This window comes from Homo sapiens, chromosome 17, assembly GCF_000001405.40.
Source record: "Homo sapiens chromosome 17, GRCh38.p14 Primary Assembly".
Classification (NCBI taxonomy): Eukaryota; Metazoa; Chordata; class Mammalia; order Primates; family Hominidae; genus Homo; species Homo sapiens.
This window is the reverse complement of record NC_000017.11, coordinates 74,862,008-74,874,078: the sequence shown is the minus strand read 5'-3', so window position 1 is coordinate 74,874,078 and position 12,071 is coordinate 74,862,008. Positions and strand designations below refer to the sequence as shown.

Genomic DNA, 12,071 nt, shown 5'->3' with positions numbered 1-12,071 from the left:
TTAAAATCTCATTAAAAACGACAACCAGTGTAGTAAGTCATGATGGGATAAGGTCAGATGCTGTGGAATGAGAGGCCTTTAACTCCTTGGAACTTGGGAGGGGACGGGTCAGAGAAAAGGCTTCTCCAAGGAAGTAATATTTGACAAGAGGGCCCATGGGGAAAAGGAAGAGGGGTTAGGCTTATTGGGTCAGCTGTGACTACGGATCCTGTCCTTATTTTTAAAAACATTTTGATCATAGACTTTTTGCATTACTTTTGACCTTTTAAAACGTTGCAGTATTATATTTATCTTGATTACTGAGTGTTTTGGAGCCCCCTTAAATTCTGAACCCGAGGGGAGTACCTCAACTCTGGTCCCGGCTCGGCTGCACGGGGGTCGGACGCTCTGTCCTTAGTACCATACGTAAGCCACTGCCCCGCCCCGCTTTTCTTCACCTATGTAATGGGAAAGGAGGTGAGGTGGGACGAGCTTTCCAGGGTTTAATATTCTCCCTGGCCCGGCAAAGACGGGGATTTGAGGGGTTACATCGGCACAACACCCGGGGTCGAAGAAGGAGGCTGCTGGGCTCCGGGAAGGAGCTCCCTCGCCCCAGACTTCCGCACTCTGGTTATTTCCCAACGGCGGGAAGGCTCGCTTGGAGCCGGACTCGTGATTGGCTAGGACGAAGTCACGTGGGAGGATTCGCAATCAAATGGCAAGGGCGTCTGCGTCATCAGTGAGCGACGAGAGCCTCCCGAGAGGGGCGCGGCTAAGTAAAATAAGCTCCTTTCTTAGTGGCTGTTTCCTTGGGGAGGGACTGAAACAGCGATGGGGATTCGCTCTCTTCCAACCCTAGGCTTCCGGGATTTGGAGGGAAGGTGAGGCCTGGGGAGAAATGTATTAAATCGCGTATACCCCGGATGCTCCGAGGGGCGGGGCTTCGACGGTGGGGCGTAGTTAAGGGCGGGTCTCTCTTTTGGGGGCGGGATTCTCTCGGGAGTCGGGGTGGAGCCGCAAGGCTCCGCTTTCCCGGAGCGCAGGGGGCGGGGTTTGGGGCGGGGCCTCGCTTGTGGGCGGGCCCGGGCAGGAGCGGGCTTGCCCTGCGGAGCAGTAGCTAGGAACAGATCCACTTGCAGGTTGCTGCTCCCAGCCATGGCTTCGCGCTGCTGGCGCTGGTGGGGCTGGTCGGCGTGGCCTCGGACCCGGCTGCCTCCCGCCGGGAGCACCCCGAGTAGGAGCAGGGCGCCTTTGGGGCTGGATGGGAGCGCGGGGAGGCCTGCGAGCGCTGAGTAGGGGTCGGAGCAGAGCTGGGGCAGGGCTGGAGAAGGGTGAGACTGAAGGGGTGTCTTCCTGCTGGCGAGATCCCGGTGGTGTACGGGGGTGGGCGGAGATCTGTGCGTGAGATGTGAGGCTTCTAGGGTTAGAGACGGAGGTCAACAAAGGTGAAAAGGAGAGACTTTGAGATCTACAGGTGTGAGACGGGGTGAATGGAGGATGATACGGAGGTCTGTGGGGCGAGAGGAAAGTCTGAGTCGAAACAGGGATCTGTAGGAATAAGACGGGTCTATATGGGCAATATAGCGTTTTGTGGAGAGAGAGAGGGGTTAGAGGAGGGACACCGTGGGGAGACCCACGGGGGCGAGATTGGGATGATATGGAGGCCGTTGGAAGGATGTGGGATTCTAGCCGATTGGATAGGGAATGAAGTGTTGTTGGGCAGGCCATTGGCAGTGGTGTAGTAGGTTCATGGGTGAGATGTGGGCTCTGGATGAACCCACAGCCTTTGGGGGTTCAGATGAAGTAAGAGACCCTGCAAATGCCAAAGCCTTGAGGAACAAGAGAAGGAGGATGCAGGTGAGGGTGAAGCTTGGGAAGTTCCAGCTTCTGTTGGATATTCAGGTTGGTTTGGGACTGGGGAGAGAAGTTAATTTTGACCTTTTCCCTCTCCTCTGCCTGGCCCCAGGCTTCTGCCACCATTTCTCCACACAGGAGAAGACCCCCCAGATCTGTGTGGTGGGCAGTGGCCCAGCTGGCTTCTACACGGCCCAACACCTGCTAAAGGTAAGCCACTTACTCATAGTCCATCATTCACCTGCTGCTCCAGTCCTAAGGGCAAGCCTCACCCGCTTTGGGTTTTAAGAGCACTCCTGGTTGCCTTATGGGGAAGGGGCTCCCAGCCATCTGGCCTGGACACTTCCCACTTGCTTCCTCACCTACACCTGAGGCTCCCCTCCCCTCCCGTCCTCAGTGTGACAGGGGTGTAAAACGCACATTGGTGGTGAGTGGTCAGTGGCAGGTGGTCAGCTTTGCCTCCCTGGCCAAGCACTCCAGGGGGCTTATGTAGACCTGCAAAATGACTTTGTCCTCCTTCATCTTCCCTCCTCTCTCGTCTATCTTCACTCTATCCCAAACATCCTACATCTCGAGGCTACCCACCTCCTCCGCTTTCTGTAACTTTACCTGCCTTGCCATGCCCTCCTCACCCATAGCTCCAGTCCTCCGTGCCATTCTGTTCTTTCAGCCTGCCCTCTGCCCCTCCCCCTTCCCCTGTGAAGGCCAGGATCTCAAGGCTTTCAGTGTCTGCCTCGGCAGGAAGGGCCCCAAGCCAAGGCTACAGGTTCTACTTGAGACTCCACATCAGACTTTGGGACAGAGTAGAGAGGGGATACCCAGGTTAACTGAGACGTGAGACAGTTGCCTAGCTTTGGAGAGGCTTGGAGTGTCCGTGGAGAGACAAGAGAAAGGATGAATATCTTAATTATACACACACACACAGATGCTTGAAATGTAGGGTGACCAACTGGCCTGGACTGCCCAGGACAAGGGGCTTCAGCGCTAAGCTGGAAGTTCTTGGGAAACTGGGATGAGTTGATCACTCTGCTGAAAAGTGACCCGTGCATGCTTCCCAGGCAACACGGGTGAAAGAGCTAATTACAATAATGTGGGCAGCGTGAGCCGAGGCAGGTGGGGTCAATCAGAAACTGTTTCCTGGGCCGGAAGCCCAGGTGGCTCATGTCTGTAATCCCAGCACTTTGGGAGGCCAAGGCAGGTGGATCACTTGAAGTCAGGAGTTTGAGACCAGCCTGGCCAACGTGGTGAAACCCCATCTCTACTAAAAATAGAAAAATCAGCCACGTGTGGTGGCACAGGTCTGTAGTCCCAGGTACTTGGGAGGCTGAGTCGGGAGGATCGCTTGAACCCAGGAGGTGGAGGTAGCACTGAGCCAAGATCAAATCACTGTACTCCAGCCTGGGCGACAGAGTGAGACCCTGTCTCAAAAAAAAAAAAAAAAAAAAAAAGAGAGACAGTGCATTTGAGCTGCCTTGAAGCAGACCAAGGGCTTTGGTGAGGGCCTCCCACATGTGGGGAGTCATCCTGGAATGCAAGGCCTTGGGCACGCTGCCATGTGGGAGGGAGGACAGCCTGGGCTCTGGGATGGAGATCAGGGAGCACATGGGGGCTGGAGAGGCCCTGAAGGGCTTTGTATAAGGGACAGTTTTTTTTTAGCTGATCCTGACATTTTGGAAGGGAGGAGAGTAAGCTTTCCAGGCAGTGTTCTTTTTTTTTTTTTTTTTTTTTTGAGATGGAGTCTGGCTCTGTCGCCCAGGCTGGAGTGCAGTGGCACAGTCTCAGCTCACTTCAACCTCCATCTCCCAAGTTCAAGCGATTCTCCTGCCTCAGCCTCCTGAGTAACTGGGATTACAGGCGCACTCCACCACATGCAGCTAATTTTTGTATTTTTGGTTGAGACAGGGTTTCACCATGTTGATCAGGCTGGTTTTGAACTCCTGACCTCAAGTGATCTGCCCACCTCGGCCTCCCAAAGTCCTGGGATTACAGGCGTGAGCCCCCGCGCCCGGCCAGGCAGTGTTCTTAGCACGACTGTATTCAGCTGGCAGACACGTGCACATGCTTTCCTTGTGGAATGGGATGGGGAGGGGCTCAGGCCAGGTACAATCCTTGTTCTGATCCTTGGGCTGATCTTTGCCCACAGGGAGCTCCAAGCTACTGGCTGTGCTCCTAAGACAGGACCACATGCAGCACGTTTGGGACAGTGGCCCTTAGCTTGAGTCAGGCACTGAGCACAGCATCTCGTAGCATCCTCATGACAACCTGCAAAGCAGGTGTCGTGCCTCTTGCTTCACAGGTAAGGATGCTAGGGCCAAGTGAGGTTGTCCAAGCTTCCACCGTGGAGCAGGGATGGCACTGGGATCTGAGCGAAGGCAGCTCCATGTGAGGCCATCCATGTTAATCCATTCAGTAATCATTTACTGGACGTAACATGTTCTGGGCGCAGGCTTTACTGGGAACATGGGGGTGAACAGGACAGACGTGGTCCCTGTGCTCGAGGACCTGACATTCGAATGTGGAGGGGACAGGTGGATAATTTACAAGGTATTTTAGGGCTCTGACGGCTATAAGCACAGAGACTGGGGTGCGGGGAGGGGGTCCATGCCCAGTCTGGAGGGAGAGATGTCCCAATTGCAGTCTGAAGGACAGTAGATGTCAGGTTGGGGGACAATAGCAGGAGTGTCCCAGGCACAGAGAACTGCGTGAACAAAGAGGAAGAGAATGGCTCTCTGGGGAAAGGGCAAGTTCTGGAAGGTGCCTGTGTGCAGTAAGGCGTGAGGAGGTGAGAGCCGAGGCTGAGAGGTAGGTAGGACCCAGATCCTGGGGGGCTTGGAAGCCATTGACCAGGCTCTGGAGGCAGGTTTCGCTGGGAGGTGTCCACAGCTGCCTCCTCTTCCCTGATCAGAGTCTCCCGGGGCATCTTATCAAAATGCACATTCCTGGGCCTAACTTGGACCTAATCAAACTCTGTGGCTGGGCCCAAGAGTCAGCAATGTTAAACACCCCGAAGGATTCTTGTGCCCACAGCTGTAGATGGTTGGCTTCACTGGAGAGTTTTCGGGCTGCTGTTTTCCTTCAGGATGCCCCCTCTGCCTGCAGCGTAGGTCCAGGCAGGGCTGGTGGCCAGATAGCAGTGGGGAGCTGCTGGGGTTGTAGTGAGGAAGAGGACTGGGAGGATGGGGGATTGATGGGATCAGGTCGGGGGTCAGGGAGGAGCCCCAGGTTCCAGCTTGGGCTCTGAGTGGATGGGGTCGAGGGAACAGGAGCAGAAGTGGGGAGCGGTTTGGGGCAAGGGGACTTGGCTTGAAACTGGATGGATTTGAGATGTCTGGGGTGGGACATCCAAGGGTCTCAGGTTTGGAGCTTGGGGAGATGTCTGGGCAGGAGAGAGAGAGTAGAAAGTCATCAGCAAGTTCAGGGGAATTTGGGGTCGCAGGAGGGAGTGGGTTAAATCCTCAGGGAGGAGGGAGGGGGGCCAATCGGAAGAACCTCAGAGAATGTCCTTGTTAGCGGGGAGCAGCTAGAGGGACAGGAGGGAGGGAAGGAAGGAAGGAGGAAACCTGGAAGATGAGGTCAGCCACGAGAGATAAGGGGTAAGAACATCCGGCAGACTTAGCGTTCCGGAGGTGGCCCTGGAGAGGACATCGTGACCCAGAGTGAAGGATCTGTCGCAGGAAAGAATGGAAGATAAGGACAGAGAGGTTGGTTGGGTGAGGTGTTGACCTCTAGGCCGAGCAGTTTGAACTTTATGCTGTGGCACTGGGCCCCAGCGAAGATTTTTGAGCAAGGCAGTGACATACAACAACAGAATAGTAATGATAGCTCTCTTCTTGATTGAACACTCAGAGTAGGTTGCACCCCGGGCTGCCTGATTACTCATTTAACCTTGAGCAGGACACCACAGGGCTCTTCTTTTGGACAGAGAAGAAACTTTCCCCAGTGCACAGAGCCAGCTAGTGCTAGAGCTGGGACTGGCATCCAAGGCTACCTGTTTGACTCCAAGCCCAGAGCGCTTTGTGGGTACAACATCGTGGGGCTTGAGGGAGGTGGTTTGGGTAGCCCCCTGTGGCTGGCCTGGGATGGAGAGAGGCAGGAGGTGGGGGAGGGTGGACTTGGGTGCAGGCAGGGGAGTGGAGGGGAAGGGGGGATTTGGGCAAAGGCGAAGAGGTGGGTGGGAGCCTTTGTTGGGGGTAGGGAGACTGATGGGCAGGGGCTTCTTTGCCTTGAGTCCCAGTGAAGCTGGAGGTGTCATAGCGGGGACCTAAGATAGGATGGGGGGCTGGGCGTGTCAGCTGTGGGACCCCTGACTGCTTTACTGCTAACCGGCCTGTGGCCCAGAGTCTCACCATCCTGACCTCCTGGTGCTTTCCAGCAGCCATGAGAGAGAGCTGTCATCCATCCTAGTGTGCAGAGGGGGAGACTGAGACTTGGGGAGGCCCTGGGACTTGCTGGGATCATGTGGCTGGTTGGTGGCAGAGCCATACCAGACTTGCCTGCTGGACCCCCGACCCTGTGCCTTTCACACGGCCTCTCAAGGTGCCCTGGGAAGGCGGTCATGCAGAACCAGTGCCTGAGACTGTCTTTCTAAGAGTGGGAGCAGGCCCATTTCCACCTCTCTTTCCCGTGAATTCCCAGCCGTGCCCCCTCCCTGTCCTGCTGCTCCCCTTTCCCCAGAGCATGGTCCTGGGCACTAGAGCTAAGGCACCTGTGAATTCAGAGGGTGGCCCTCAGGTCCTCAGACTGGCTGGGACCTGAGGGTCCCAAGTGTCGAAGGGTTGGAGGCCAGGGCTGTGGGTTGTGCTTGACCTGAGAAGATAAAGAAGCCGCCCTGATATAATTCCAGTCGGGGGAAGCCACGGCCTTGTCAGCTGGCCACATTTCTCCCCATCTCTGAGGGCCGGCCGTCGTCGTCTTTTTTTTTTTTTTTTTTTTTTTTTTTGAGACAGAGTCTTGCTCTGTCACCCAGGCTGGAGTGCAATGGCGCGATCTTCGCTCACTGCAACCTCTGCCTCCTGGGTTCAAGCGGTTCTCCTGCCTCAGCCTCCCAAGTAGCTGGGATTGCAGGTGCCTACCACCACGCTCAGCTAATCTTTGTATTTTTAGTAGAGACAGGGTTTCACCATGTTGGTCAGGCTGGTCTCGAACTCCTGACCTCAGGTTATCCACCTGCCTCAGCCTCCCAAAGTGCTGGGCTGACAGGCGCGAGCCACCCAAGGAGTGAGTGCTCTTTTTCCTTGCAGAGGGTGGAAGCCTTGTGTTCTCAGCCCAGGGTCCTGAACTCTCCTGCTCTGTCTGGGGAAGGGGAGGACCTGGGGGCGTCCCAGCCTCTCTCTCTCGGCCCCACCAGCTGCCACCCTGTTCCCCAGCAGCACCCCCAGGCCCACGTGGACATCTACGAGAAACAGCCTGTGCCCTTTGGCCTGGTGCGCTTTGGTGTGGCGCCTGATCACCCCGAGGTGAAGGTGGGTGTCTCTGGGCCTGGAGGCTGGGGTTTGGAGACTTTGGTCAAGATGAGGAGGGCAGGGAGGCTCCCTGGCTGGATGACAGGACTTCATGCCGTCTGTGCCCATGCCACCCAGCTTCCCTCCTGGGGACACAGAGTGGTGAGGGTGGTGCAGACTTGGTCCCTGGAGCTGCCTTACCCTCTAACCCCTCCCATTCCCGGGGGACCTGGCAGAATGTCATCAACACATTTACCCAGACGGCCCATTCTGGCCGCTGTGCCTTCTGGGGCAACGTGGAGGTGGGCAGGGACGTGACGGTGCCGGAGCTGCAGGAGGCCTACCACGCTGTGGTGCTGGTGAGTGCAGCTAGGCCCTGGCTTGGGGAGGCAGGGGCTGCAGAAGGAGGCCGGTGGCTCGGGGTGGAAGGCAGCAGGGGTGAGGCCAGGATGCAAGCTGCTGAGAAGCTGGAAGGAGGCCGCTGGGAGCCTGGGGGGCTGCCCGGCCTATCAGTGCTGGTGCTGAAGGCTGTGGGTCTCGGGCCTGCCATCTTTCATCAGAGCTACGGGGCAGAGGACCATCGGGCCCTGGAAATTCCTGGTGAGGAGCTGCCAGGTGTGTGCTCCGCCCGGGCCTTCGTGGGCTGGTACAACGGGCTTCCTGAGAACCAGGAGGTGAGTATGGGGAGCACGCCCGCTGCCTCTTCCTCCCCGCCCCTCAGCCCTTGGATGCCAGACCTGGGGGAAGAGGGAGCTGCCATCCAGTGGCGAGCTGTGACATTGTGCTGACTGAGGCGGGAGGCCAGCTGTGGAGGGCCTCGGGGGAGAGCTGGGTCCAGGTGGGGGAGGAGGGACCAGAGTTGTGGACTTTCCCGGTGTGGGGAAGCCCCAGGGCACAGTGGGGACCAGGCATGAGGCACCTGCAGACTGAGATGAACTGAGTGGAGCGAGGCTGGGGGACCCTATCAAGACCTTTCCCCTCCAGCTGGAGCCAGACCTGAGCTGTGACACAGCCGTGATTCTGGGGCAGGGGAACGTGGCTCTGGACGTGGCCCGCATCCTACTGACCCCACCTGAGCACCTGGAGGTGAGTGGTAGGTCAGGGCTGGCGGGGTTGGAGGTGGGGTCACCCTGAGGAGAGAGTGCCCTTGTCTGCAGGGTTCAGGCCTTACCTCTCCAAGCTGGGCTCAGTGCCTCTGTTTCCCCGTGGTGCCCAGGCAGAGGCTCTCTGAAGGGCAGTGCCATGAGCTTCCTCTTCTACCATTTTCCCTTCACTTTCTGCACTCCAGCTAAGTGGCGTTTTTCTCTTACTCTTCAGTAAGCCACATCCCCTGCTTGGATCATCCCCACTCACCTCCCACCAGTTAACAGTTAAAGTTCATCTTTGAGATCTTGGCTCGGTTGTCCCTTCCTCCAGGACTTCCCTGAATTGGTCCACTCCCCCATCGTGCCTCCTCCCATAGACCTGTCTACTTCTGTTTCACCGCATATCATCGCCACAGCAATTTTACACACATTGATGAGTATTTGATGAGTATTTCTCTCCCCAGCAGATCACAAGCTCTGAGAGGGCCTGCTCCTTGTCTCTTTTCCTCACCATTGACCACCCCGCCCCTCCAAGCTCTTTGCATGGGGGTGAGCACATGGTAGAGGCCCACTACATACTTGTTGAATGAAAGTGTGGGCCTGGTGTGCTATTAGTTGGAGCCATTTGCAGAGTTGGCAGCAATGCTCCATCTGGCCACCAGGGGGGAGCAGTGGCGCAATTTTGAGCCGCCAGCCTTCTCCAGGCCCACGGTGGGGACATGACCAAATGGAGAGTCCCCTTTCCTCGGTCAGTGTCTGATGACTCCAAGGCCCTCCTTTTGTGCCAGAGAACGGACATCACGAAGGCAGCCCTGGGTGTACTGAGGCAGAGTCGAGTGAAGACAGTGTGGCTAGTGGGCCGGCGTGGACCCCTGCAAGTGGCCTTCACCATTAAGGTGCTGGGGCCAGAGTGGGAGGAGCCAGGGTTCCAGGTGGAGGGGGCCTCTCCTTAAGGGGTTGGGGTGGGGCAGAGCCCCTGGGAGTAGCTGCTGCCTGGGATGGAAGAAGGGGAGCAGTCAGGGCCCCGGGGGCCCTGTGCCTTTGGGGAGGAGGCGGGTGGTGGTCTCTCCTGCCTGGGCTGGACCCTGGGGTGGGCTCAGGTGGACTGTGTTCTGGGCCTGACCTCCTCCCCCATTCCCTGCTCCCACCTTCAAGGAGCTTCGGGAGATGATTCAGTTACCGGGAGCCCGGCCCATTTTGGATCCTGTGGATTTCTTGGGTCTCCAGGACAAGATCAAGGGTGAGGGGCCCTGGCCTGGCCCCCCAACTACTAGGGAGAGGGTGGCCTAGGTCAGAGAGGGATTGGGGAAGGGCATGCAGGGAGAGGGCCGGGGCCCAGGGACAGCCTGGAGACATTCTACGTTGCTGACAGAGGTCCCCCGCCCGAGGAAGCGGCTGACGGAACTGCTGCTTCGAACGGCCACAGAGAAGCCAGGGCCGGCGGAAGCTGCCCGCCAGGCATCGGCCTCCCGTGCCTGGGGCCTCCGCTTTTTCCGAAGCCCCCAGCAGGTGCTGCCCTCACCAGATGGGCGGCGGGCAGCAGGTGTCCGCCTAGCAGTCACTAGACTGGAGGTGAGTCTCATGTTTCCCAAAGACACCCCCTTCCCAGGCCTCTGCCACCCGCCTGGTGTTGCCCACACTCTCCCCAACAGGGTGTCGATGAGGCCACCCGTGCAGTGCCCACGGGAGACATGGAAGACCTCCCTTGTGGGCTGGTGCTCAGCAGCATTGGGTATAAGAGCCGCCCTGTCGACCCAAGCGTGCCCTTTGACTCCAAGCTTGGGGTCATCCCCAATGTGGAGGGCCGGGTTATGGATGTGCCAGGTGAGAGGGTGTGAGGAGGCTGGGTGCTGAATTATGGTGAGAGGCCGAGAAGCTGGTATCTCCTGGGGCCATGCGTTCATTCATCTAGCAACATGTACTGAGAAGCTTCTGCAGGGCAGGCCCTCTCTAGGACCCAGTGCCGCCCTCCTCTTGGCCCTGAGAGAAGTTCCAGTCTGGCTAGGACATATGTGACATACGTCGGGTCATTAAGTCATTCAACAAACGTTTACTGAGGTCTTTTCTGGGTTAGGCCCTGTGCTTAGTGCTGGGATTGGAGATTAATAAGGCAGCCTGTGTCCTCAGGGAGCTTCCAGTTTTACTAAGTGCCCACATACCTATCTAGTGATTAATTCACTTGGTAAACATTTACCAAGGGCCTACTGAAACTGCAGGGGAGCAAGCCTCAGCTCCTAAGCTTAGGGATCCCCTCATCTACAGGGAAACTGAGGTGTAAGGGGGTCGGCCTGGTAAAAACAGGGAGAGAAGAATCCAGGGCAGTGGACCAGCGGCCACAGCAGGCTCAGCCGACAGTCTGCCAAGAGGCGTGGGGTGTCTGTGTGCGTGCACGTGGGTGTAGATTGTGGGCACAGGATGGCCAGGGTGGTATCCAGCCACCTCCCTCCCTTCCCCTTTTGTTACCCCCTCTCAGGCCTCTACTGCAGCGGCTGGGTGAAGAGAGGACCTACAGGTGTCATAGCCACAACCATGACTGACAGCTTCCTCACCGGCCAGATGCTGCTGCAGGACCTGAAGGCTGGGTTGCTCCCCTCTGGCCCCAGGCCTGGCTACGCAGCCATCCAGGCCCTGCTCAGCAGCCGAGGTCTGGGCCCCGATGCTGAGGTCCTGGGAGGTGGGGTGGGTGGTCCTTCTCTGGGCCTCACTCTTTGGGAGGGGGCTGTTCTGGGAGGGGTGAAGGAGGAGGTGTTGACAATCTCCCCTCTGCTTCAGGGGTCCGGCCAGTCTCTTTCTCAGACTGGGAGAAGCTGGATGCCGAGGAGGTGGCCCGGGGCCAGGGCACGGGGAAGCCCAGGGAGAAGCTGGTGGATCCTCAGGAGATGCTGCGCCTCCTGGGCCACTGAGCCCAGCCCCAGCCCCGGCCCCCAGCAGGGAAGGGATGAGTGTTGGGAGGGGAAGGGCTGGGTCCGTCTGAGTGGGACTTTGCACCTCTGCTGATCCCGGCCGGCCCTGGCTTGGAGGCTTGGCTGCTCTTCCAGCGTCTCTCCTCCCTCCTGGGGAAGGTCGCCCTTGCGCGCAAGGTTTTAGCTTTCAGCAACTGAGGTAACCTTAGGGACAGGTGGAGGTGTGGGCCGATCTAACCCCTTACCCATCTCTCTACTGCTGGACTGTGGAGGGTCACCAGGTTGGGAACATGCTGGAAATAAAACAGCTGCAACCAAGAGCCATGGTTGATGGGGGACTTTTTTTGGAAGGGTTGGGGTCGGGGGTCACCTTCTGGCCGTAGCTCCCCTACCATCACCAGGTGGCGCTGCAGAGACGGCTCCCTGCTCAGGGGCCTCATTGGGGGCTTGATGGGGCTCGGCAGCCAGGCCTGGCATAGCCACCCTTCCTTTCTCCGCTCGGCCCTGCTGTGGCTGCGGGTTGCCTGTCTTCTGTCCACACTAGGGCTGCCCGGGACCGGGACCGGGACCACCCCTCCCTGGGGAGCCCTCAGTACAATCAAAACAGAAAAGAAATGGGAGCGGGGGACTGAGAAGCAGCTTGTCCCCTGTACCTCTGGGTGCCCCAGGCGAGTCTAGCCTGGGGCCCATTCTTTGGCTCTCAAAGCCTTCCTGCTTCCGTTTCCAGTCAGACACACTGGCCTTTAAAAATAGTGCCTCAGTCTCCCTAGGGCTTTGCAGTGTCCAGAGAGTGGTCACTCCCTTTTATG

General features: G+C 57.9%; 1 protein-coding gene across 8 annotated transcripts, besides 6 other annotated features; it reads left to right on the top strand.

The window, feature by feature from the left end:
- Nucleotides 556-785: an enhancer, noted in NCBI's record as "active region_12721". NCBI's record gives its function as "activates an Ori minimal core promoter by ATAC-STARR-seq in GM12878 lymphoblastoid cells {active_cell/tissue: GM12878}" and the evidence as "EXISTENCE:reporter gene assay evidence [ECO:0000049][PMID:35858748]".
- Nucleotides 741-1,035: an enhancer, noted in NCBI's record as "tiled region #86; HepG2 Activating non-DNase unmatched - State 1:Tss, and K562 Activating non-DNase unmatched - State 1:Tss". NCBI's record gives its function as "activates a minimal TATA promoter and a strong SV40 promoter by Sharpr-MPRA in HepG2 and K562 cells {active_cell/tissue: HepG2 | K562}" and the evidence as "EXISTENCE:reporter gene assay evidence [ECO:0000049][PMID:27701403]".
- Nucleotides 741-1,733: a biological region, named in NCBI's record as "Sharpr-MPRA regulatory region 86".
- Nucleotides 833-1,733: an enhancer, noted in NCBI's record as "H3K27ac-H3K4me1 hESC enhancer chr17:72868471-72869371 (GRCh37/hg19 assembly coordinates)". NCBI's record gives its function as "activates a minimal SCP1, AML or CMV promoter by ChIP-STARR-seq in primed H9 embryonic stem cells {active_cell/tissue: H9 hESC(primed)}" and the evidence as "EXISTENCE:reporter gene assay evidence [ECO:0000049][PMID:30033119]".
- Nucleotides 946-1,175: a silencer, noted in NCBI's record as "silent region_8946". NCBI's record gives its function as "represses an Ori minimal core promoter by ATAC-STARR-seq in GM12878 lymphoblastoid cells {active_cell/tissue: GM12878}" and the evidence as "EXISTENCE:reporter gene assay evidence [ECO:0000049][PMID:35858748]".
- On the top strand, nt 1,085-11,582 carry FDXR (ferredoxin reductase). 8 transcript variants are annotated; one of them, NM_001258013.4, is made up of 13 exons: nt 1,085-1,213; nt 1,763-1,881; nt 1,972-2,043; nt 7,203-7,295; nt 7,511-7,633; nt 7,835-7,948; nt 8,259-8,360; nt 9,148-9,255; nt 9,515-9,599; nt 9,732-9,931; nt 10,012-10,183; nt 10,833-11,003; nt 11,132-11,582. In NM_001258013.4, exons 1-13 carry the CDS (start codon nt 1,135-1,137, stop codon nt 11,260-11,262), a joined length of 1,569 nt encoding a protein of 522 aa, NP_001244942.2. In that variant the 5' UTR covers nt 1,085-1,134; the 3' UTR covers nt 11,263-11,582. The 8 variants fall into 8 exon arrangements, 7 of the variants coding, with proteins under 7 accessions (NP_001244942.2, NP_001244943.2, NP_077728.3 ...); NR_047576.3 differs by lacking the exon at nt 1,763-1,881 and having other exon boundaries at nt 1,085-1,310; nt 1,946-2,043; nt 7,200-7,295; NM_001258014.4 differs by lacking the exon at nt 1,763-1,881 and having other exon boundaries at nt 1,946-2,043; nt 7,535-7,633.
- Nucleotides 1,216-1,345: a silencer, noted in NCBI's record as "silent region_8945". NCBI's record gives its function as "represses an Ori minimal core promoter by ATAC-STARR-seq in GM12878 lymphoblastoid cells {active_cell/tissue: GM12878}" and the evidence as "EXISTENCE:reporter gene assay evidence [ECO:0000049][PMID:35858748]".
- Nucleotides 11,583-12,071: the final 489 nt, after the last annotated feature.